The 26,612-nt window shown below is 39.6% G+C and overlaps 1 protein-coding gene and 1 pseudogene across 6 annotated transcripts in view; both read right to left on the bottom strand.

Moving 5' to 3' along the window:
* The window catches only part of TENM3 (teneurin transmembrane protein 3), a 1,355,412-nt gene that overhangs the window by 1,266,232 nt on the left and 62,568 nt on the right, over positions 1 to 26,612 (bottom strand). The gene's annotated exons all lie outside the window — the stretch shown is intronic.
* LOC132386 (epithelial cell adhesion molecule pseudogene) lies at positions 13,372 to 14,133 on the bottom strand (annotated as a pseudogene).

Below are 26,612 nucleotides of genomic sequence, written 5' to 3'. Positions count from 1 at the left end.
CTATGCTTTATTGAATAATTCTGCACACTAGAGCCCACCAGTAGTACAGAATAATGAAAGCTATTTTAAAGATGTATTAACTCCTAATGCTATGAAATGTCCTAGAAGAATCAAATTATTCAATGGTGCATGTGTCTAAAGAACTAATGACGTGGTAGAAATAAAGAAATTGACCACTTCCTCATTGGAAAGATGAGGATTTATTTCTACTGTAACAGTTCCTTATCAGATTGCCTGTGTCCCAGATGGCAAGGAGCCATAGGATACAGTGCCTTTTTATATTTGATATGACAATATCTCCAACTCTAACATATATGTGTGTATATTTGAACATGTGAATCCACAGTGATGAAATTCTAGAATGCTCCTCTCTTGGAGACACTGCAGTGACGTCATCTCAGAGCTGGGGCAGGATTTGTCACTTCAGATGAGCAGTAAGGGAGCAGCTTGCTCAGGATATCTGAATTATTCCTGACCTGCATAATGGCCGAACATTGCAATTACTCCTCATGCGGGAACACAAAGTGAAGAGGCCATTCAAAAGGCAGCAGTGACTTCCAAATGTGGAAAAATGGGCATCTAATTAGTAGAAATGGAAAGACACTAATGTTAAATAGGTGGGACCCTAAGATTGCATTTACTGAGCACCTATTATTCACCAGAAGTTGTGCTAAGCATATGGGATTCAGTAGCAAACAAGTCGGAGATGGTTTTTGGCTTTTACGTTTCATAAAATATACAGGTGCGGGGAGAAGGCATACTGCAAGTATTACCAATTGGTAATAAGATATTGAGTGGAATTTTTTTTATTAGGGAAATGTGGCTAAAATCCAAAGTTGAGGACTATAGGAGAAAATACCTCTCATTTTCAAAATGAGAAGCATTCAGAAGCAGCCAAAAATTAGAAACAGACTTCTCCCTCCCCAGGGGCTTAATGAGGAGCTGTGGTTGGAGAAGACTTATCTGGGTGATCTTTGAATGACATCTAAGGAAGTAGGGGCTGAGCTGAGCAAGGGTACCAGGGAGCATCTTGGCAGATGGAAGAAATAGGAAGTCCATGGTCTCCGAGGCAAGAGCTTGCCTGGTGTGCTTGAAGAGCACTGAGAAGGTCAAAGTGGTGAGGGCAAAGTAAGGGCAGGCTAGCTTGAAGAAAGGCTGAGGCTGAATCATTTGGCTTTGTAAGCCATTATAAAGAATCTACCTTTTACCTGGAGTGAGATGGGGAGCAGCCATTTAAGGGTTTTGAGCAGAGAGGTGATGTGACCTATCTTCCATTATCACAGGATTACCCTGTTTATTAAGGAGAGACTGTAGGGGCCAAAGATGGCAATGGCAGCTCAGTTAGAAGGCTATTGCAAGAGCCTAGGAGACACCATGATGCTGATTGGCCTTTAGGCCTATCTCAACTGGGACAAGAGAATTGAGGTGTGGTGGGAGTGGAGCAGGCTGCATGACCAATATTTGGTGATATGGGAAGGATACATAAGTTTCCAACAAGTGACATGGACACAGCAATCTTAGTTGATACTGAACATCACCAATCCCTACTCCCAGGAAGGTCACCTGGTGGGTCGGGAAGCCTCAGCGGCAAGAGGCTGCAGATGAACCACTGCCCAGCCCCGACTGTTGAGTGGTGCAGCCAGAGTGGGGACATCCCGGGACTGTGACATCCGGAGACTCTTTTTGGCTACTTAAGACATCCACACACAGACTCCATGAGAACACTGCGTTTGAAGTCATGTTACCCAAAAGACATGAACCGCTGCATAGGGTTAGCCAGGGAGGCTGAAATTACCAGCAAGCAGGGTGCTAGAGCTATGGCTGTGCAGAAAGAAAGGCTCACCCTCCTTTCTGGCCACAGCCTCCAGAAGAGCTGGAGCCTGGAGAAGAGAGGAGGGAAGTTTTGAATCAGATATAAAATCGGAAGTTACAAGGACTGTTCTGAGTTTGAGTGCCTGAAAAGCTATGGGACCTGCCTAAGATATCATTCACAGCCTGGAGAGGAAGATGCAACAGGGCCAGGTGGAGAAACAGTGAACGGCGGGTGGAGGGGGTTCTTTACTGACTCCAGCGGGGTTTCTGCCCTGAAATAAACTGTGTGGTAAATGCCATGAAGGAGCATTGCCAGGTACTCTGGGAACACAGCTCAAGAAATCTTTCCTTCTCTGGGCAGTCCGGAAAGTTTTCCTGAGAAATCAACACCTAGGCTCAGACCAGTCATAGCAGACATTACTCATAGCAGGCATCACAGGAAAGCACATTCAGGAACAGCCAAGCTAAAGGTACGAAGGCAGGGAAACAAAGGTATTTTTCTGTGGGGGGGGGGAAGACCTCAGGGAAAGTCTCCATCCACTGTAAAGACAACATGACCACCAAAGGAACTAAAATGTCTTAGTTTAAAATGCTGCCTTCATCACTGTGCTTAGAAATTGGCTGGTAAATGTATTTGACCACTTTGGACAAGTCAAACTCTCCTTGTTTATGTTCTATACCAATTTAGAAAAATCTTCCTTATAACTCCAAACATCCTGAATGCAATTGTTTTTTTTTTTTTTTTGAGGTGGAGTCTCAGTCTTGCTCTGTTGCCCAGGCTGGAGTGCAATGGTGTGATCCTGACCTTGTGATCCACCCACCTCGGCTTCCCAAAGTGCTGGGATTACAGGCATGAGCCACTGCACCCGGCCTTGAATGCAGTTCTTTTATAAGTCTGTTTTGTGTCTATAATTTTGTTTTCAAGTTACAATTAACCACTTAGTTCTCCCTAGTCTTTGTGTGAATCTCAGAATGACTTGGAGTATTCACTAGATTCACTGAGATCCAATTGCATTAATTGTGTTCCAGAGGTGTGGGTTATGTTTTAGATTTTAATAGAGGGTTTTATCTCTATAAATGATAATAGCACTGGTTAAAGTTGTCAGTGATAATGGGGAACCCAAGATGGGAGTTTATGCCAATGGATCCAATAAGACAGAGTTTGGAAAGGAGGTGGAAGTGAGAAAGACTGGATCTGAAAGAAGGTCTACGTCAGAAAACTAATGAAAGTTTTTTTTTTTTTTAATTTAAAGGCAGGGGTATAGGCATGCAATAAAATGGCTCTGAAAATAGTTTAAAAATGTATTTTGGATTTGGCAGTAGCTTACATCTGTCTCGTGCCTAGTGTTGAGGGATTCTTTGGAGAAGAAAAGAGGGTATGGAGAGGGAAGGAGACCCCAGTGGAAGATCGTATGCCCAATAACGGGTGTTGGGGGCTTCTTTTTCCCTTCTAAGGGGCCTATTACCTAGAAAACCAATCCATCCTTAAGGGACCAAGAGAAGGTATGGAAACACATGTTGTTGTTGAGAACATAAAGGTGAATGTTGACCTTCTGTCCACCTCTTCTTCCCCAGAGGGTGACTGATCATCCACTGCACCCAGGAGAAGCATTTGTGCATGAATGAGTGAACTCTTTTGTATTAAAAGTGATGATGGTGGCGGTACTGTGACACAATAGGTCAGTGGCCTGTAAATTCTTCAGTTCTGAGCAGGGCTTCTGGCTTGCAATGCCCCTTCTTTTTGACCCAGTATGCTGGGCTAAACCATAAGGGTTACATTTATTTCCTCACTATAGACACCAGAGCAGGCTTTGAGTAGCTGGATCCTTGCTTCTTCCCCTCCCGGTCCTGCCCTAATAATTGAGTTCTCCAGGAGCAAAGAGACTTTATTAGGAAAGATTACCGCTAGTCTCAGTGCTTTCCCCAAAACCCCGGGTAGAAAAGCCATGTCTTCACGTTTGTAAAATGCTGTTAGTAGTTTACGTTTATAAAGGGGTTATAGAGAGAATTTTGAAAACATTTCACAGTCTTAAACAAATCCTTTTAATACCTAAAAACAATTTTAAGAAAATCATCAAAAAGGGTTTTATATACAGAATTCTCAGAATGCATAATAAGATGCTGAAAATAAATGTTATTCTATAAATGAAACAAACAATATCATAAGAGTTAGGTTAAATATTGTAGTACTCAAAAAACTATATAGCCATTTATGGTCATTCTTGTAAAATAAAAGCTACTAGGATATAAAATAGAAATGTCCTCTCCTCTTTGGTGGTTTCATAAAGCTCTGAAATATTTAACAGGACTGATTTCTAATTCCTTTACTTTTTAAAATAGGGGCACACTCAGAAAGACTTGATACAAGTATAAGATATACTCAAATAGGGTGTTTTGTTCCAAAATTTATAACTCCAACCAGAACCTGTTCCCTCCAGAACGAAACGCCATTTGCTATTGAACATTTTCCATTTGTATGGCTCTTTGGCACCTAAAACTCACCATGTTAAAAATGGACCCCAGTTATGCCTTATTTCAGGAGATGGCATGATGAATCACCTTCAAGCCAGGAATCTCAATGTCATTCTCAACCCCTCCTTATTTTTTACCTCCCGCACCCAACTACTGTACATCCTGCTTCCTAAATCTGGCAGGGTCCTAATCCTGGAAGCAAAAATTCTCATTGTAACTGTGATAAAAGTCTACATCTTAGTCCTAAAGCCCAATTTTGCCCTCCTCCATTTAGATCTTCTTTAGGGGTAATGTTTTTGATGCATTTCATACACGTGGCTTTCCATTTCTTTCAGGATAAAATGACACATCTGTAATGATGTGTATAAAACCCAGCCGGTGGGACCCCACTTTCTTTCCCAGACACGCTCTACTTCTATTATAACACATTTTTCTGTGCTACTTCAAAGACATAATGGCTTTCTTTCTGCAATATTTTTCTCCCCATCTAATTCTGCTAATCAGCTAGCCAACTCCCACTCCTGCTCAGAGACACCTGGGGATGGTTGTGCGAAGCGAGCCCTGCAACTGCAGGGGTGAGCCACATATTGACATCATGGTCTAAGTGCACGGTACCTCCCAGATTTGAGAACTAAGCACCAGCACTGCAGTACTGACAACTCTGCTCCGCCCTTCAGTTTTCTGCTTAAGCAGCAGTGCCTCAGGGAAGCCTTCTGCACACTCCCTTTCCCCAGTCCCGTGTACACACATTTACACACACTTGGTTAGATCTTGCGTTTTATATTTCCACAGCATCCTGGGCTTCTCCTTTACAGCATTGAACATTTGTAATTATTTGTTTAATGTCTTTCTTCTCCATTATACTGAAAGCCCCATAAAGTAAGAATCCCAGCTGTCTTGTTTGCTGTATTCCCAGAGCTTTCCACAGTGTCTAGAACTAGTAGGTGTTCAATAAATAATTCGTTACAGTTCATACCCTATGTGTAAACTCCTAATTTAAAAATATAATGTCATGGAGCCTTAATCACCCTGCCTTCCAGAGGGTAGAAAGAACATGAGATGAACAAAACCAACAGAAACAGACTCTGGGATACTTATGCATAAGTCCCCTGATATGTGGATAGTTGTCATAGCACCAAAGCTAAGCCAAGAATTGAGGAAGACAGAGATTTTATCTGGCAACTTTGTCGTTGGGGTTCACTCCTGCACTCAACTTTTATGTATTTATTTTTTTCACTGCTCAGATGATCATCGTGAGTTTCTGTCTGTTTTCCCCCTTCCTTGCTCTATAATTTGAACCACTTTTATTCTGTGGGTCAGTTAAAGTTAAAGTCACTCTGGTTCTGATTGCTATCTAATCCACAGGGCAGAAAATAACCACATGACATTTACACATGTAATTGAAGGAGAAATTGATGGTTATTTGGAATGTAATAAAAATTGATGCTAATAGTCATTCATTATGGATAAAAAGGCATGATACACTCTCAAAGTCACTAAGAATGGTATCAGAGTAAGACAAACAATTAGGGCTGACATTAAAAAAAAGGAAGTAGCAGAAACCAACTTCTAATTTGTGAAACACAGAACTGGTGCAGGTGTCAGCTTCCAAAGGCCTTATGAGGAGAATCATAACTAGAACTTCTTAGATCAGTTCATGTTTTCAGAAACACATGACCCACGTACATACATGCACATGCACGCACACACATACAACACATTTACTCCTCCAACGAATACGACAGTTAAAGAGGCAATATCTTTGTTGTTGAATCAACATCCATTAAAGATTAGTTTTATTTTTATGGCTATGCCTGTTTGGAGGATTACATGTCTACAGAATTTGAAAAGGAAGATGCATATTTTCCATATTATGCACTGAGGGTCCCCTTAAAACTCATTAAGAGTTGCTTGAATTCACAAATTCTACGACTGTTAGCAATGGGGGGAAAAATGCTTTGTATGTTCTGCCAGCAGGATCTACCTTAGGACCAGCTTGATTTGTTAGGGTGAATATTAGTTACCTGTAACTCATGCATTGCAACTCATCTACACCTGTAACTCTTGTTTCTCTTCTTAAGACATATCAGTGAGAACTCAACTTTGCTGCTTTGCTTTATGTAGGAAAGGCTGGCCACCTCCACGCGCTGATGGCTACTAATGAGAGATCACTTCCTAAGATCATTACTTGAAATAAGTTCCCTTGTAAAAATTAATCTATTGGTGCCACATAATGCAAAATTTCAATTATTCATTCATCTTATTTATTACCCTGTATGTAGGGCTTTTAAGCATCTCACTGTCCTGACTTCAGAATGCATGTTTTTTTATGATCACTGAGAAAGAAATAATAGTTTAATATGTCTCTTCTCTGACACTTAAAATGTTACTTTTTAAAAAGTGCTCTTTCATTTGGAGCATAAATTAAAATGTAATTGTACACAGTTATTATTCCAGTTCACCAGAATAATAAAGAGAGTTAAGAGAAGAGCCAAACTTTATGATTTCCAAACGCTCCTGTATGTGTCCTATTCTTACTTAGTTTCTCTTTGTTTCATGACACACTTGGAATGACTTTGGTCTTTTCTTAAGGCCACATAGGAAGTTTGTATTTTAGAGCAAGGGATCTCTGCTTATGGACAACCTCATCAAAGAGTTCAGTCCAATTCTGCTTAATTCAACAAATATTTTCCAAGTACCTAGTGTGTACATAGCACCGTGCCTATTGAACTCTGGCTGAAAGTAGCCATCTCGCGAATGTTTGCCCCTGGCCACAAGGGAGGCTAAAGTGGCCAATGAGTGGCTGAGTGTAAATGCAATACTTGTGGCCTCATGTTATCTGGTCAGTAAGTGGTATCTTTATTTCCAAGTGCAGCTCATTAACAGCACCTATTTATCTGGTGTCATTAGGAATAATTTATATTATAATGGGGTGAATAACAACCCCCCACCCCACGTGATTGTAGTTATCTTAGGCTGTCAGTTGTAAGTTCTCATGTCTCCTGAAAGGATTTATGCCTGTAGTATTTACATTACCCACATCTATTTCCCTTGAGTTTTCTGTTTGAAGTTAATCCTTCTTACTGAAGAGAATGGAAGCAAAACATGAATTGAGCAGCTCTTCCTTCTCTGTTTTCTGTTAACACTACACTGTCATCGCCCAAGAGCAGTTCTCTCATTTCCTTCTGGATTCTAGATCTAAACAGATGGGAAGGCAGACCCTTTTTCCTTGTCTGTACCATTTCTCATTCATTTTTGCTCATGCCTTTGGACATGTAGGAGAGGTACTGCTGGGGAGGAATAAGGGGAGCAGAAGCTCCACTGCACTAACAGCTGGAAGATCTGGCTTCTAATCCCCACACTGCCTTTCCCAGCAGTAGAGCATTGGGCAAGATGTTTTAACCCTTTTGAGCCTCAGTTTTTTCACCTGTGAAATGGGTTCAATAATCTCCACTGTGCCTTCCTCACAGATAGGAAAATATAAATAAAAGCTCTTTAAACATTTTAAAGTATACTAATCTTATTTATGCTACTCATATACTGTTAAATATAGACATATATTTATATCAACTATATATATGCCTGCAGATATGTGTGTGTATATACACGTGTGTGTGTGTGTATGTGTGTGTGTGTTTGGTTATCAGCCCTTCATTCCACATTTCTGCCTTTTTCTTCCTTATGAGCAGCCTCTCAGGGAAGGAACCTGAGCAGCGTGTATGCACACTTGCACTAGGGGGCAGCATTGCACAGTGGTGGAGAGTGCAGGCTTTGCAGCCAGGCTTTCTGGGATGGAATTCCACCTCCTCGGTGAAATACTTGGGAAAGTGACTTAACCTCCCTCAGCCTCACTTTCCTTATTTGTAAAATGAGGTGAATAATTCAACCTACCTCGTAGGATTGTTATGAGGATTAAATGATTTAATGCCCATAAAGCACTTCAAATTGTGACACTAGTAAGAAGGCAACAAGTCTTAGCTATTCTTAGTGTTGTTACAGAGCAAAAAGTCAATAATTTAGCTCTTCCTGTGCTTTGCGAGTCTCATTTACAAGAGAAGGTCGTAATTCTTATCTCTAAATCTCTTCAATTTTGTTCACTCGAAGACTATAGTGTCACAGCACTGTGCTAGAGGGTCTGTTTTGTAGTTATCAAGATAGAACTTATAATACTTAATTTTCTTTCTTTAGGATCAAAATAATAATTTTATGCTACTACTTGATCTGAAAGTCATTGATTATAAAGAGTCCTGTGTAGAAACTAGATAGCTTTATTTTTAAATGCCATATTGGGTGGGGTATATACCAAAAAGTAAACGTCCAATATACAAATATGTATATTAAGTATCTATTTTATAAAAATAGAAAATTTTAAATCACAGAATGTTTTCATTTGACAAAATAATTTCATTTCTGTTTTTTTTCCTAAAGGTAATCAGAGATGTATGTAAGGATTTACGCCTTACACAGAGAATTTTATCCTCCTTTAACCCCCCCTTTTAAAAAATTGTTTTAAAAAAGTAAACAATTTTTAGTACACTGTGGTACATCCATACAATGGAGTATTGTTCAGCCATTAATATATTTTTAAAGAACATTTAACAACTCAGAAGTATAAGTTTAAATGAAAGAAGAGGTAATTTACAAACTGCTTTATAGAGTAAAATGTCAAATGTGTGTACATATATTACATTAAACGAAAAAAAAGACTACAAGCAAATGTAACACAATGTAAAATACAATTTTCTTGGTGGGAGAATTATGAATGTTTCTATTATTATTTTATTCTGAAGATGAATACACACTTTCATATATACATATGTATTTATACTTGTGTTTTTCAAATTTTCATTCTATTATCCTTTTATATTAAAAAAAAAAAAAAACAAAACCTGGCTGGGCATGGTGGCTTGAGGTCAGGAGTTCGAGACCAGCCTGGCCATGGCCAAACCCCGTTTCTACTAAAAATACAAAAATTAGCCAGGCGTGGTGGCTTGTGCCTGTAATCCCTGCTGCTTGGGAGGCTGAGGCAGGAGAATCACTTGAACCTGGCAGGCAGAGGTTGCAGAGAGCCGAGATCAAGCCACTGCACTCCAGCCTGGGTGACAAAGCGAGACTCTGTCTCAAAACAAAACAAAACAAAACAAAAACAAATAAAAACACCCAAAAACCTGATACTAAATATCTCAACTTTTTAGCTCATTATGTCTTCAGATAGGTAAAACAAAATGCTTTACTGGGAATCCATTTACAAAAAGTCATTAAAAATAGTCTAATTAAAAGTTAAAAACTTTCAAAATCATTCATCTGTGAAATCACATTTAATGTTTTCCAGACATACAAAAGACATTCATGAAAACAGTTTGTAGATTGGAACTGTTTTGCAATTGTGGACCTAGCAGCTGGTCTCTGTGCAAACACAACAGCACTGACTGGTCGCACAGGGGGCCAGAGGAGTGAGCTTCAGCAGGGTGGCTGCAAGGACCCAGGGCTAAGTCACTGAGCAAGGAGGACCAAGTTGGGAAGGGCCGTAGGATCAAGACAGAGACAGCACTTGGCCATGAACTTTATCTCCTAACTGAACTATAAGGACACTAAAATGTTTTTACTACTACTCGAAAGAGAGGTCACAGACAAATTGAGTCAGAGACTGATAGAGAGAGAGAAGCTCGGAGAAAAAGGGAGACAGACACATTCTGGAGAGAAATTTAGAGGAAGACAGAAGAAATTAACTGCTATTAATCTATACACAGCTCTCTCTCTAATAGTCTCAATTCCTCTTAACCAATCCTATAGTTATAAAGTCCCAATTACAAATGACAAGAATCACCACCACCATCACCACCATCACTACCACCACTACTACCACAAAAAAATCTCAAAACATTGTTAAGAGTAAGTGCCCTCGAAGAGTGCAAAGGACCAGAGCATGCACCTACTATGGCACCCCAGATGGATAGATAAGATGAACCCCTTAATCAATGACAATTGAGCAAAACCTACTCCTACTCCTGTTTGGCTGAGCTTTACATTTCAATCACGTTATAAAACTTCCAATCTCTCCTGGCTACAACTTAAGCAGATACAGTGAAGTGAAATTTATACTCGAAGGAAAAAGGCCACACTGCTTTGCTTGTCAAATATGGGTTTGACAGGGTCAAAATACAAAGCTGGTAGATTTTACATTTTGTAGATTTTGAGGTCTTCATTCCTCACTCGCTACTTTGCTGGTTTTTTTTTTTTAATTTGGATTCTTTTGTTAAAAATTATAAAGCAAAAGTGATTAAATTCCATAGAACTCGTCTTCTTAGAAGGTTGAAAGAATGATTTCCTTCAACCAGAGAAATGGGCCAATCGTTTAAATTCACGATTATGCCAGAGGAAAATAACAGTGAAACATTCCATACTCCAATGTCTGTTTCCTTGAAATTGTTAGAGTCATACTGCTAGTGAATATTTTGGTTTACAACTGTCTGGGAAAGCTGAATGAGAGATTCTAGAAAACGTGCTTCTCTCAAACCTTCTGTATTTACATTATTTGGTTAAGATCTATTGTGCTTTGCTTTCCTCCACTGGAAAAAAATCAGCCCAGGCAAGGGCTGACATTTCCTTAGCAGGCTGGAGCACCACACCACTTAATTACCCACAGGGAGATGTGAGAAGTAGCGCGTGCAAAGTTTAGTTCTGCCTGAGGGCACTCACCCAGCTGCCCTCATTAGTATGTGGTAAGAAAACCTGCCACCCCACAGCTCTTGACTGCTACATTTGAGAAAAGGAGATTTGTATTCAATAAGCTGGTCAACCCCAATTTTGTTCTAAAATGTCTATACAATAGAAACATTCTAGTTATACAAAAACAAAAAAACACAGGGGGAAAAGGTAACAGGCAAAGGGTTATTACAGAGGAGCAAACCATCAGGATTTCTTGACATAAATATTCCATAACATTAGGAAGAATGATACACAATTGAGGTCTACCGAGTGAACCCTGGCAATTAATCTCTACTCAGTTAGCAGCTCCTCAGCCCCTTCAAAAGTCAGGGGGAGATATGATTTGAAAGCTTCACTTTTTGCCCTCTGTTCTTCTGCATTCCTTTTTTTTTTTTTTTTTTTTTGAAACAGGGTCTTGCTCTACCGCCCAGGCTGGAGTGTAGTGGCGTGATCTCGGCTCACTGCAACCTCCACTTCCTGGGTTCAAATGATTCTCCAGCATAGCTGGACCACAGGTGTCTGCTACCACACCTGGCTAATTTTTGTGTTTTTGGTAGAGACGGGGTTTCACCATGTTGGCTGAGCTGATCTGGAACTCTTGGCCTCAAGTGATCCACCTGCCTCGGCCTCCCAAGGTGCCGGAATTACAGGTGTGAGCCACCTACCGTGGCTGGCCCCTCTTCTGCATTCTTAATTAGCACTGACCTGTCAAACTTTCGATATTCTGTTTTTAAAAAACTGCTTAAAAATCTGCATTAAACAATAGGTTCATGTTTGAACCATAAATGTCGTATAATCAAGCAATTTCTTCTAATCATCTGGTGTTAGGGAAATACATTTTTAGCTCCCAGTGAGAGTCATGTGCATACTTAAAGCTTGGCAAACCACAATGAAAACTTCTAAGCCTTCAAGACTTGCCAGGGATTGAGGGTGCGTGGTCCGAGGAGAGGGACTGGCTGAAAGGAACCGCGCAAAATTCTGACCTATAGGCTTTCCTCTTTTCCTCCCCCTCACTTCCCATCTACTCTTTACCCCCTACCTGGTAAACCAACCTCCAAGCACAGAAAACAAAACAGAACGGATTAATGGCCCCTGTTCTGTTTCATTATTTATGCCCTTCTCATGTACCACACTAACCAAGGGATGCTCTTTGATGATTATATCTCCAAAGAACATTACTGTGATCATGGTATGTGCTGGGGAACCATAGATAATTAATCAGTCAAACTGAGAGATACAGATAAGAATAACTTCTGGATTTTGTAAAAGTAAATTTAATGCATAAAACCTGCTAGGAACTGATTAATCAAATAGCCTCTTTACTCATAGTTAAATCAGGGCATATACCACAGCTGGCTGCAGACCCATGCCTGCATCCCAAAGACACGGAGTTCGCTTTTGCTTCATTTAAGCCTTTCGTGTCAATTCCAATAGCAAAGGTATTTGCTAAAGAGGTTTGGCCGGTATGGAAGTTTTTGTTATCCTAATCAATCCATTAGGAAATAAGCAACCAACTTATTTGACGTAGTATTTTCTACTCGCCTTGTGAGAAATTGGTGAGTCATTGTCCCATCCACATTTCTATTTGTGGAGGTGAAAAAAATTCCATACTCCTACACCACCCCCAAAACCACGGAAATCACGGGAAGTGCTGCTCCCCCACATTTTCACAGGTTAATCTTTATAAAGAAAAATTTGCATGATTTCCATGTTAGTGTTTCGTGGATTATAAAGAAGCTAGTCACCTTTGTCTTCTATAACAGCGAGCCACGTAGAATTCTGTGAGTGTAAGATGGAGAGGAAAAAGGAAGAGAGAATTGAATGGCCTTTTGTTTCTTAAAAAAAAGGAAACCAACAAAGACTTGTTTCCTTTTCCCTTTTTGTCAAATGAAAGCTCTTCAGAGATGATTGAGCTCTTGTATGCTACTGTTTGAATCCTGTAGGATGGTTTTCTGTGTAGCTTTGCTCTAAGTACACCAAAGGACGCAGATACTTCTGAAGGTTAAAACTACTTTGTGGCGCATAGGAGACCTGTCTGAAGATTTCTGATCCTTGAGAGAAGAACATCATACTCTCCTCTTGGTTAGAGCTTGCTTTAAGGAAACACATTTGGATGCCAGTTTATCAATTTGCTGTAGAAGGGGAGGGCCAGGGACATTTGGGAACAGGTAAATCAAGTTCCAGAAGTATCTGAAGAAAAGTGACACCCAGAGAATGTACAATCCCATTTTCTGATGGTTCAGGCTTGTTTGCCACTGAGATAGCCTTGACAACGGAATGAGGGCTGAGTTTTTATTTCTAGTCCTTTCACTGTCCCTGACCCTCCCTGGCTGTCTCACTTTGGTCTTCATCTTACCCCTGGAAAACTTTTTTTTTTTTTTAATTTTAAAATGTTTTATTTCATAGCTCATAAAAAAGTTTGCATGAAATAGACTCAAGTAAATAGAAAGGCAGCTTTCAATCACAAATCAGATAGTAGTTTTTCAAACTCTACTGTGGAAGCATATTTAACGCACTCATTTGAATGTTACGCATAAATAATTTTAACTATGCAGTCCAAGTTCTGGGTTTTATATTAGATCTGCATATATAAAAGACGCTTGTGGTCAAATGTTGAGATTGGTAAAGCCAATTTCAAGCTGCTTATATATTGAGTACAGGCTTCACTAGTACAAATACATGATGTTAAACTAACAAAATAGTGACCTTCAAAGATGTCTTTGTCCCATGCTCATACATTTGTAATCTGAGTCCGTTTGCGATTTCCCTTCTTCTACAATCTTCAAATTATAGGACTGATGCATTGAGTTCCCTATGCATCCTACCCATCTCCTTTATCTCAGCCTTCTCATACTTTGCCATTCTCTTCTTTCTGGAAATAACCAGCACAACAATTCCAGCAACAACTGCTATCATCACAACCACAATAACAGCACAAACACCAGCTTTTAGAGCCTGCATTGAAAATTCAGGTGCATTTCTATCAACATAATAAATTAAAGTTTGACCAGGATCCAGATCCAGTTGTTCTCCATTTACTCTCAGGTCCATTTTCTTAGAAGAATGAAACAAGGATTCACCTTTAACATCTTTTTCAAAATAATGAGCCACATCAGCTATGTCCACATCATTCTGCATTTTGGTTCTGAAAACTATGGCTACAACATAGTTGGAGACCTCAAGAAGAATAGATGCTGGATTTGTCTATCTATTTCTCCAAATTTACTGGCTTTTTAATATCAGTTCAATGCTACAAGAAATATCAAATCCTTACATTTCTAACCTTAATGAAAGACATATCACCACAGTCTTTCTAATAATCACCATTTCTAAAAGCAAGATGTTTAGAAAAAAGGTTGGAGGCTCTTTCTGGAGGATCTGCTTGGTGAATCAGGGTGTAACAGAATGATTTTCATAAGATCATTCTAATCATGTCAGAACATTTTAGAAGCTTGAGAACAGATAATAAAAGTAACCTCTCTCTTTGACCAGGTGTACAAGCACAAAATGTCTTCAGCTTTAAAGAGTACTGTTATGATTTTTGAAAGATCTTCTCATTGATGTGAAATTTTGTTGAGTATAACATGGTGATATTTTAAGTATAATGATGTATCTGCTCTATACATAGCACCCAGCCTGAGTAATACACTCTCTCCACATTAGCTTCTTCTTTTTTTTTTTTTTTTTTTTTTTTTTTTTTGAGACGGAGTCTCGCTCTGTTGCCCAGGCTGGAGTGCAGTGACGTGATCTCGGCTCACTGCAAGCTCTGCCTCCCGCGTTCACGCCATTCTCCTGCCTCAGCCTCCCGAGTAGCTGGGACTACAGGCGCCCGCCACCGTGCCTGGCTAATTTTTTATTTTTTTTTTAAATTAGAGACGGGGTTTCACCGCGTTAGCCAGGATGGTCTCGATCTCCTGACCTCGTGATCTGCCCGTCTTGGCCTTCCAAAGTGCTGGGATTACAGGCATGAGCCACCACACCCGGCCCACATTGGCTTCTTAAGTGACTTTAGCAGATGCAGATAGAATGGACCATTTCATACATGCTTGGTAATGACTGACATGTGGGAAGAAGGGAGGAGAATTGCAAGCAAAGCATGGCAGTGCTGAGGGAGGAAGGGAGGGAGTAGCTTGTATTTATAGTTAGAGACTAGTGTATTGATGGGGATAGTCAAAGTGGTTCCAGTGCTTAAAGATATTGTTGTACACAATATAATCTTTTATCCTTGAGTTACGATTACGCATGTCAAGACAGTCTATATCCTTCAGTAGAGGAAACAATACAAAGCAAAACGGGAAACTTCTGTATAAAATCGATCATTCATTACACATCTCATCAAAATAGCTTCACATTTCACCTTTCCAAGTAAACTGTTTCAAGTAACCTTACTGCAAGCCATTTTTGTACACCAGACCACACTTACAAAGCTTATATATTTAACAAGAACTAAAGAAAGCTAATGGCATCGGTAAGAGTTATTTTTGCTCAGAGCAGCTCATAACAAAGAGCGAGGAACCTCATCTGAATGAAGAAGCTGCCATGCTCCTCCAGGATGCAATCCACCTGAATCTTACAGGATGTGGTTCAAGTGTTGTAGAAGGTGCTCAAGAGACAGGGCGCCAGGGTCTCAGATGTAAAGAGCTGAATCTTGCTTTAGCCCATGGCTGCTCAAATTAAGCCTTTTGATTTAATCTGAAGTATTCAGAGAAAAAGCCCTGGTGGTATCAGCTTCCCATTGAGGAGAGCTGTATTGCTGAGTGGCTGAGAGCTCTGGGGAGACCTACACGCAACAGAGGAACACATGTGGCATGCCCTCTGGGATTTTCTCTTTTCTAGATGTTAATGAAGATTAAAGTGTAAGAAAGTGCAGGCATCAGTGGAACAGATAATTAATGATGATTGATGATTTACTTTTAATTTATGCCACATGATTAATTCAGGTAAAACATGCAGATGCTTGGAACTTCTGGGGTCGTGAAATTGTTGAGCGTTCAACATGGACAGACAAGAGTCTACACCAAAGCCTGCATTTGGTGCCTGATATTATCCATATCTTCATTTTCATTAGGTAGATACTGAAAGAGAAAGCTCCATCTGTTCAAAAGAAAAGACTTTTCTTTTTCTTTCAGGATTGATTTTTTTTCACCTCTGCTATTCTTTTATTTCCTGAAAACCTTTGCTCCTTTCTTGGGCAAAGCTATTTAAGTGGTTTTCGTGGTTATTTCCTTACAAAAACTAGAGGTTTTTTTGTTTGTTTTATTTTGTTTTGTTTTGTTTGAGGCATAGTTACTTGCCTAATTGTTACAAAACTGTCTTTCAGTCATGTGCCTTTCAATCTCCTTAGAGATATATGTACACATGCACGCACACACACACATACACACACACACGCAGGTACCCCATGACAGTTGCAAAGGTGAAAGAGTGAGAGCAGTATCTCCTGGACAGAAATATTCCAAAATTCAGGCCATCAATCCAGCAGAAGGAATCACATCAGCATTTTCTCCCTTCTGCCAGGGCGGCACGGCTTCCCACGGTGCAGGATGCTACTGTACTGTGCAGAAGTGGTGTGTCAGTGCCACATCAAATGATAAGGCTGTTTACAAGTGGTAAATTTAAGGCCTTTATGGCTTCTCAGAGTTTATCTCTCTAAGGATGGCTAGGCTTGAAAAGAGTAGAGGATTTGGGGCTTTGCCACCATCTTGTAGAAAAGCTTAATGCTTCATTTGCTAACCCAAAACCTAAAATGACTTCAGTGGCCAGGCGGCCTCACAGGCCTGAGTTCCATGTGGGTATTTTTTGCTGCAAATATTGGGAAATAAGAAAGAAATTCTGACTTGAGCAATTCTAAATCTTGCATGTGCCGAACGAGTCATGTGGGTATTGTCTGTTTGATTCCTACAGGCTTTGCTAAACTTCCTTCACTGAGGTTTGCTTTCCAACAGCCTCTGCTTATTGTGGTATTTCTATTTTTCAGAATTTTATGGCTTAGAGGCACTGACACTGAAATTCAACAGCTAACATTCCTCCACCCAGCCCCCACGAACAATTTCAAAAAAGTCAGCAATATAGTAATTACAAGTAATGAGTATTTTCATTTCCGTAAGTGAAAACGTGATTGATCTAACACTAAATAAAAATGATGTAACAACAATCTATAAGCTTAAAATTATTCAATATCACATCACAATCTCCGAATAGTTCATCTAATCCAACATAATTATGCCTCTCAAAAAACCTTAAGTAATCGTAATCATAGCATTTTTATTTTTAAACTTATGTGTTTTGTTTTGATATAAACAGTAATGGGGAATAAAACATTTTTCTTCTGATAGAACTAACAGAAGATACACAAAAGAGAATAAAAAAGACTTTTAGTGTCAAACCAATTTGTACTAATTATGAGAATAGCTACAACAATGCTTTAATAAGTTATATTTTCAGAGAGGAAAGAGTAAATATACATTTGGAAATCTTTATTCATAATTAAGTTACATCCCGCAGCTCCCAAACACATCTTAAAACACAGAGCACCACACGATCTCTGCCTCACTCTGTTTTTCTTTTATTTTTTTGCCTTAGCTTTCATTGTTGTTGTCACTTCCCATATCCTGCTGGTACAATAAGTTTTCACAGTTAGGAGGTGGTTTTCCACTGGATGTGCTTGCCCAGCTGCAGATTTCCAGTCTAAATAGCTGCCACAATCTCCTTTGTCAAAGCTAGCAAATATTTGCTTTTTCCCTAAGTTAAACATATATTTTTTTTGTTACTCACCAGTCTTGAGGTTTAGTGAAAAACGAACTCTTTTATTAATCTCCCTGCTAAACCTTGTATCTTGATGAGTATTCAACGTATTTAAACAGCTCACTGTCCATATTGTACTACGGGCAATTAGAACCCAGGTGCTTTGTTACGTAACTGGTACCTTGGATGGGACAGTACGATTCTCCCAGTGTGGCTGGATCCACAGAACTCTGTCATTCATGGACATACAGGAATATATTTATCAGTATGGATTATAGGTGGCTAGGAAGGATTTTCATAAACACTTTAGCGTTATAAAAACCAAGCCCTGGCCAGACAAGGTGGCTCACGCCTGTAATCCCAACACTTTAGGAGGCTGAGGCGGGCGGATCACGAGGTCAGGAGTTCGAGACCAGCCTGGCCAATATGGTGAAACTCTGTCTCTACTAAAAATACAAAAAATTATCCGGGCATGGTGGCACGTGCCTATAGTCCCAGCTACTCAGGAGGCTGAGGCAGGAGAATCGCTTGAACCCAGGAGGCGGAGGTTGCAGTGAGCCGAGATCACGCCACTGCACTCCGGCCTGGGTGACAGAGTGAGACTCCGTCTCAAATAAAACCAAACCAAACCAAACCAAACAACAACAACAAAAAACAAGTCCTATCGAAACCTAAGAAGTGCCATTAAGCAAAGAATATATACCATCTTGTCAAATTCTAAATCTAATTATATTTTTAAAGGGTTAAAAAAAAAAACCCCACATGCTGACAGTTTACATATCTGTTAGTGAGGAATACCCAGTCCAAATTTTTTACCACAAAAGCTAATGACCCTATTAACTCTAATTTGTTTACTCACCAGTCTGGAACAGTTTCTTCCACAGGTACCTCTTTGATGTTCAAAATTAAGCTTCCTAGAGGCTTGAGAAATTAAATGCTAAAGGAGGTCAATTATACAACCGTTGCCTAAAGACAGGGATTGCCACTCCCATGTCACTTTAAATTGACTATTTTTTTTCCCTTGATGAACAGATGAACACAAATACAACAAGATTACTACACAACACGTGTTAATCCCTCCGTCTGATTTGCTTGGATGTGGTGGATAGCTTTGAATGAGTGAACCTGAGCGTGCTGGAAAGGGCTTAATTAAAACCCAGAAAAATAGTCAGTGCTGGTTCCTTAGGTGAAATCTGAAATATACACCAAGATATTATCCAAACCAAAACAAACCAAAATGAAAGGGCATGTTTCATAAACATAGAGAATTCTTCTATTATCACTTGCAAAGCCGCATGTGGGAGAAAATTTGGTACACAGGATAGCGTGTGTGAATCATTCAGATTTTTCCCTGTGGTTCAGACATCAGCACTATTATGAAATAGTTGTGAAGTGGAAAAAGCATTCTGCTTATTGAAAAATAAATGAACAAACCAATTGTAAAACTGTTGGGATGTGCCAAGGGAATAAACCCTACCATAGATATGTGTGTGCGAAGAGAAGTTTTTGTTAATATCCTGAGTCCTGTAGCATTTCTGTAATAATTGGTAACAAAAGCATTTTGCAGAGGTACAGCCTGGCTCTGCAGGGCCAGTGCTAACTTCTCTGCTCTCTTTTCAGGCTTAACACAATTTCTCTGTCCCCACCTTTTATGGGTACCTATTCTCTACACTCTGGGGCCATCTCCTTCCCAGATAGGAGCTTTATTTGACTTTGGAAAAGATTAGTGATTCAGAAATAGACATTGCACATATCATTCCAGAGGCTGAAAATTGAGTCAGATAATGTCAGTTCCTCATAAAATAAGAAAATGGGCAATGGGTTGAAAAGGCCTCATCATCTGCTTCTAGAACAGTCTTGTCCTCCCTTCCATCTCTTACAGAACCTGAGGGATTTTTTTTTTTTCAGTTATTTCCAGTCTCTGTTTAGTTACATTCATTAAGGATATAATTGTCACTCTTTGGCTGTTGAATACATGACAGTGTACAAACCAGAGTATAAGCCCAGGATTTTAAGGGGGCATTACAATGGCTGAACAGTGCATCAGTACAAAAGAGGGTAGTGTTTGAGTGTAGAACCTCTGGAATCAGGCTGCAGAGATTGGAATCCCTACTCTGTCACTTGATAAGTGGGTCTGGGCTTAGTTCTTTTATCTGTAAAAGGGAAATAATAGTAATATTTACTCTAAGGTGTTAAATGAAGCAATACACATACAATGGTTAGGATACAACCTGGCACATAGTAAAAGGCTCATAAATATTAGTGACTTTTTTTTTTTTGGAGATGGAGTTTCGCCCTTGTTGCCCAGGCTGGAGTGCAATGGTGCAATCTCGGCTGACTGCAACCTCCCCCTCCCGAGTTCCAGCGATTCTCCTGCCTCAGCCGCCCGAGTAGCTGGGATAACAGGCATGTGCCACCACATCCAGCTCATTTTGTATTTTGGGGATGGGGTTTCTCCGTGTTGGTCAGGCTGGTCTCAAACTCCCAATCTCAGGTGATCTGCCCGCCTCGGCCTCCCAAAGTGCTGGGATTACAGTTGTGAGCCACCGCGCCCACCCATGACTATTGTTATTTTGGGGCCTGGGACTAAGTATCTAGCTCTTCAGTCTATGCTCTCATTCCCTCACAGAATGTGATTTTGGGTCTGATTCCCTTAGCCTTAGCTCTTTCTTTCTTTTTTTTTTTTTTAAATATTTTTTATTTTAAGTTCTGAGGTAGATGTGCAGGTATGTTACATAGATAAATGTGTGCCACGGTGGTTGGCTGTACCTATCAACCCATCACCTATGTATTAAGCCCTGCATACATTAGCTATTTTTCCTAATGCTCTCCCCTCCCCTGACCCCAACCCCCAACAGGCCACAGTGTGTGTTGTTCCCCTCCCTGTGTCCATGTGTTCTCATTGTTCAGCTCCTACTTATAAGTGAGAACATGCAGTGTTTCGTTTTCTGTTTCTGGGTTAGTTTGCTGAGGATAATGGCTTCCAGCTCCATCTATGTCCCTCCATGTACCTGCAAAGGACATGATATTGTTTCTTTTTATGGCTGCATAGTATTCCATGATGCATATGTACCATATTTTCTTTATCCAATCTACCATTGATGAGCATTTGGGTTGATTCCATGCCTTTGGTATTGTGAAGAGTGCTGCAGTGAACATAAGTATGCATGTATCTTTGTAATAGAATGATTTATATTCCTTTGGTATATTCCCAGTAAGGGGATTGCTGTATCAAATGTTGTTTCAGGTTCTAGATCTTAGCTCTTTCTTTATGAGATTCAGAACAATGTCTCATCATGGAATAAACAGTGAGGAGGTAATGGAGATGCAGCAAAACCACTGAGTTATAAGGAAGAGGTATTTAACAGTGTCACAGGAAAAGTATTAGGACATGAATATTTTAAAGAGTGAACTGGAGTCATCTATTTTAACCCCTAGACACAATTCGAACTCTCAAGCCACTATTTGGACTTCTGCTTAGAAGAGCACATTTAAATGTCCCTTTCACCATTTTTGGGACTCGACTCTGATATTGGGGTAGAACATATAGGCAGCAAGCAGAAAACAGGAAAAGAGACAGTGTGCTAAAGATAGGCCTTTCCTGGGTATTTGTGGCAGATCTTTTCAATGCAAATTGGAGAAGGGTCCTAGAAATACAGCCTTAGGAACATTTTGCTTCAAGTATGCGCAAAGGAGAAGGACAATGATCTTCAGTGAATGCAATAAACTCTAATGCAAGAAATGAAAAGTCCAACCTGTCCCAACCACTTGCAATGATGAGAGCAAAGAGAACACAGTAAGACATGGCAGAAATGATGTTTCCAAGTAGAAAAATGTGAGCCGGGGGAAAGCAGAGGCAATTCCTTAATCATTTGCACAAACTAAAATTTTTCATACACTTTGTTGTAAGAGAACTGGAACTTGATGTGTGAGCCCCACTACATATTGTAGAAGGTTGGTTGTATGCAGTTATGCATATGAAAGTTTCATGCAATTGAAGATTGTCTTTAACCAAAAACTGACTTGGACTTCAGCCCTGGCTGTACCACTTTTTAATAAAGCCAGTCCTTAGAGAATTCACCTAACATCGTTTGGCGTCAGTTACCTGACATATAAAATAGGGATAACCAAGACCTGTCTCACAAGTCTGTTCCAAGGTGTTGCTGTAATATATGGGAAATGCCTAGTGTGTTGCCTGAAATTTCCATTCGATATCCATTCTTCAGCCCTCCCGAGTGGCTACCACGCCTCAGGTTTTGCAATAATAAATGTCAGAATGTTTCGTAAATTACCTTTCATTCACACTCTGAAGTGTACATTTAGCCTTTCTAAGCAGATGGTTTTGTTTTTTTCTTAGACTTTGCTATAGTTACAGAACTGAGGAGTCACAAACAGCTGCCATTTTGACCAGAATCCCCCATCTCACCCTAACACACCTTCGCACACTGCCTCAACAAGGCTCATTGCTTCAAAACTATAGTACTCTTACAAATATTTGCAAAGCCAAGTGAGCTAAAGTAAAACTCCATAAATGGAAAAATCTCTTAAATTTTTATAAAATTCAAGGGAAAAATGTAATTATCTGCTACTGATTTTATTTCACTTTTTTTAATAGGAAAATTTGTAGCAAAAGTACAGATTAGACTGAGTTGAAGAAAAGAGTTCAATGCTCTGAATATATGACAACCTTTCCTCCACACCTGGAATTTTCAATATGATGTTAATGAGGTAGGCACAGAGTAAGTCAGTGAACCAAAGCTTTAAATTTTTTTTAAAAACTTTTTACTGTAATTACAATTTTAAAAATGGAATTAAAAAGTTTATGTTTTCACAGTAACATAACACTGTTGTGGAAAGGGTCGGAGTTATAGGTGAGAGTCAAAATCTTCAAAAATCTCATTTGAATTAGGTTTTTGAAGGATTAAAAGTGTTTACTGTTTTCCAAACTCTAAATTCTCATTTCATACAATTAAAATACATATTATTTACTATGGATTGACAGGATTATGTGTGTTGTGCTTGTGGTATTTCTTTATTTCATGTTTTTAAATATTTATATGTTTCTTAGTTGAGGTGGAAAATTATTTTCTAGTAAACTTTTTAAAAGTCAGCTTTGCTTCTCTAAAAGGAAAAGGAATAAAAGAAAACCTGTCTCATGCTGTGGTGTGAACCACCCCTTACCAAGAGCTAGCCTACGTCAAGTGGCTGGTTTTAGGTGGTTGTACTCAGGATGTGTTTAAACGGTATGAACTTCAGGAACGATTACAGGGACAAGAAAACAAGCGACAGGATTAGATGCAGGGAGGACCTACTGTTAAAGCCTCAGCTGTTTTATGACAATGTGAAGATTTTCTTTTTCAATAAAAAGCTCATATTTTGTGTATAGTGTTGAAGCAGAGATTTGAGGTTATTTATTGCGTGTTTTATTAGGCCAGAAGTTTGCAATAAGGTGTTCTCTTATTGTTCCCGTCTTTCTGGACTTAACATAAGCTTGTTGGGACTATTTCCTTCCTTTTCTTTATATATTTTATGGTCACAACTAATTGAAACAAATTGCACTTACTTTTATCTGAGTTTTCTAGGTTAGTGTTGGTATGAAATGGAGCTAAACCCTGAGGGCCTCCGGTTACATTTTTAAGAAAATTTTGATTGAGTTCTAGTTGTTCTGCTTCTGGCTGGTAAAAGTAGAATATATAATTTCTACAGAAATTCTGAAAAGTAAAAATATTTTTAAAAGCCTGTAAGATCCTTGCATTTCCCTTGCATGTGAATATTTATATTGCTTTGATTTTTTTTTTGTAATTATGAATGATTGAGAACTTGGCAATGAGAGCCCTCCAAACAGAGCACAGAGTTTAGCAGGCAGAAGATGCTCCAGAACTATAGGCTAAATGACTCAAAATGGTATAAATAACACCACAAAAAAAGTCTCAGAGGAATGTTTACTATAGACAACTTTTTGTAAACCACGGGAATGTCCTCCTTTAATGTGTAAGTTGCAGAAAAATGTAAAGAAACATTGTCTATATAATAGAGATTTAATGCATTCAAATACCCTTGCCCATTTGTTTCCTTACATTTTGCTTGTTCTAAAAAAACAATTATAGTCTCAAAAAGAAAGCACAGACACTTAATTAGTATCATTCTGCAGCTGCTCCTTAATAAATCAAGATGATAAATATGCGTCTAATATGCATTCTGGGCTGTTTCTAATCTAAATGTGTCTAGACTTGTGCACCTGATGCATTACATAGGAACTGGAGGGCAAATTAATACTATGATAGGAGAGTAAAATGTACTTCACTATTTATTATTTATGTTTGGTTGTTTCCTATAAAAACACTTTTAGGTGCCGTAGATAAGCTGGTTCACAGACTGTGGCAGAAATATATTCTGGTTTCAAACGCAGGTGGAAGCACAGGAGCCTGGGTGACAAATGAGTTAGCGACGAAGTGGGATTTAGATGTTTGTAATCATTGAGCCTTTCCAAAAAGAAGTGAACTTTTGTATTAAAAATGTAAAGGAGGAAACTGGAGCTGAGCTACCAGACAGCATGAAAGTCTGAGTTACAATAATTCATAAACACACACTTTAGGTAACAAAGATACGTCAATTCCACACTCTTCTTTGCTCTTCCATGGCATTTTCTTACTAAGAAAAAAAGAGGGGGCTCTGTTTCTACTTCTGGCTCCTGCAAGCTGCTGCACTATGCTTTGGGAATATAGAGAAAAATTGTGTAGACCTTGGCCTCAAGGGAACGTGGTAGACTGTTCTAGAAGAGAAATGTTAGGAGACAGATGACCACAACACAGCATAAGCACCTACATGAGAGACAGAAGTAGTGAGGAGAGTGTAGACTGGGGACCACAGCCTGGAAGCATAGACCTGAATGGGTGGCGAGAAGTTTCAAGAGTGGCACAGGAGCTTGGCCTATCTGGGATGTTGACCTCATGAGGGCCAGTAGTGAGCAATGAAGAAGGCGAGAAAGCAGGGATGAGATTGTGGACAGGCCTTTGTAGGACTGTGCTGAGGACTCCGAACTTCATCCTGAGGCTGATGGAGAGTCCCCTGAAGGGTTTTTGAGCTGGGAGTGATGCTGGGCACCCTAACACAGACTCTTAGGGGCCCCCGGTGCCATATTCAGTACAAGTCCATGCAGCTCTGGAATGTAGGCCAATTTTGTCTCTATCCCATTTTAAGCCTTTCTTTTGGAAATGTTTTCCGTGACTGGATACACCCCGCTGGCATTTTGACCCGCTGGTGGTCCACAGTCCTCCACTATAGAGCTCCCGACTACCCTCTTCTCCTAGCAGGTCCCCAGAGCGAGTTCTTCTGAAAATGTCTTGTACTCATTGGCTACCCCTCCTTTCTTGCTGGTTTGTCATGTAGGCAAGTAAATAAGCATGTAAATAAATAAATGAATGTATGTATGAACACTTTACATTCTTGAAGTCAGAGTCAAATCACCCGGAGCAAGGTACAGACATGGCTCTCAGAGTGAAGAGGAGGATTGCTGTTTTAGAGGGCAGCCTGTGAACCCAAACAAATGTCTCTTACGAGGGAGGGAAAGGAAGAAGTGAGAACACCTTCTTGCTGTACCCACGCATGAGCTCCTTCTGTCCTCCTCCTCCAGGCCTGAGCAAGGAGAGGCCCCCAGTACTCCAGCTTCTGCTGACCCATGCTAGGATCCCTTGGGCAAGTTTCCCATGTCATCATCTTCTCATCTGAGAAAGATTCCAAATGTCTGCCTATGGCTGCTGTGACAAGGTTTTAAAAATTATTAACCACAGGTTTGGTATAAATTGCATGATTACATTGATAAAAATAGCTGTTCCTCTTACGACACAAACTGAGCTGGTGCCATAGCACTGCCCTGTCTATGAATTTTTCTTCCTAAACAGAGTAGCTTTCTCCTCGATTCTAGAATGAGGGCTTCCTCTGCCCATTGGACATCTCTGTGGCATCCCTGGTTCCAGCGACCACTCATATTCTTCTGATATTTTAACTATTTTCTTGAATGCTTGCTTTTTCTTCACCCTCCCCCCAAAGTAAATGTGTATTTCTTAACATGCATATGGGCCTTCTTACCAAAAGGGGGAATAAAGTTAACTTAAGGACATTACCATATCAGATTTCAGTTCTGGATATAGCTTCTACATACATTACAGTTCTAAATATACCAGGATTAAGATAATTTAAGAAACATGGAGCATTAGCTCCAAAACTTTACTCTAGAGTGAGAAAAAGGATGAACCTTATCTTTGAATTCTCCTTAGAGAGTCACTCCCTCCTCACCAGAGTTCTGCTTTCCTGACTTTTAAGAAACGAACCTCCCATTGGCTGCGTGTTACCTTTCAGATGCTTCTTTCTCTTTCTTAAATTCTGCCTTGACACCATTCCCTAGAAAGAACGGGGTCATTTCCTTTTAGTTGTGTTTATGAGGATGTCTGACACATCTGTTTCCTTTTTGTTACACTTTCTTTTTTTAAAAAAAATGTGTGGTTATTCATGTTTTTTATTGAGTAATTTTATCTATCTTTAGTAGGTTTAATTTGTTTTGTTTCGTGTTTATTTTGAGGCTACTATGACAAAACACTTTTACCCCTTGGAGAATCTGGGGTGGATGGACCAGAAAATTATGGACAGCTCTGAGGATAGCAGGGGGAAATCTCTCAGAGGCTTTGTTTTTGTGTTTGTTTGTTATATTTGGTATGTTGTTTGTCTGGACCTCACATTTTTTTTTTCTACTTGTTCGAATGGTCAGTTTTCTGACTTTGGGTTTAAATGGCCTAAATACCATATCAATGTTCAAAGGGAAGAAAAAAATAATTCAAAAATATTTTCTGCTGTGAAAGTTAACTGCCAATAAATATGGT

This window comes from Homo sapiens, chromosome 4 (genome assembly GCF_000001405.40).
Source record: "Homo sapiens chromosome 4, GRCh38.p14 Primary Assembly".
Lineage (NCBI taxonomy): Eukaryota > Metazoa > Chordata > Mammalia > Primates > Hominidae > Homo > Homo sapiens.
This window is presented reverse-complemented; position numbering and strand designations above follow the sequence as displayed.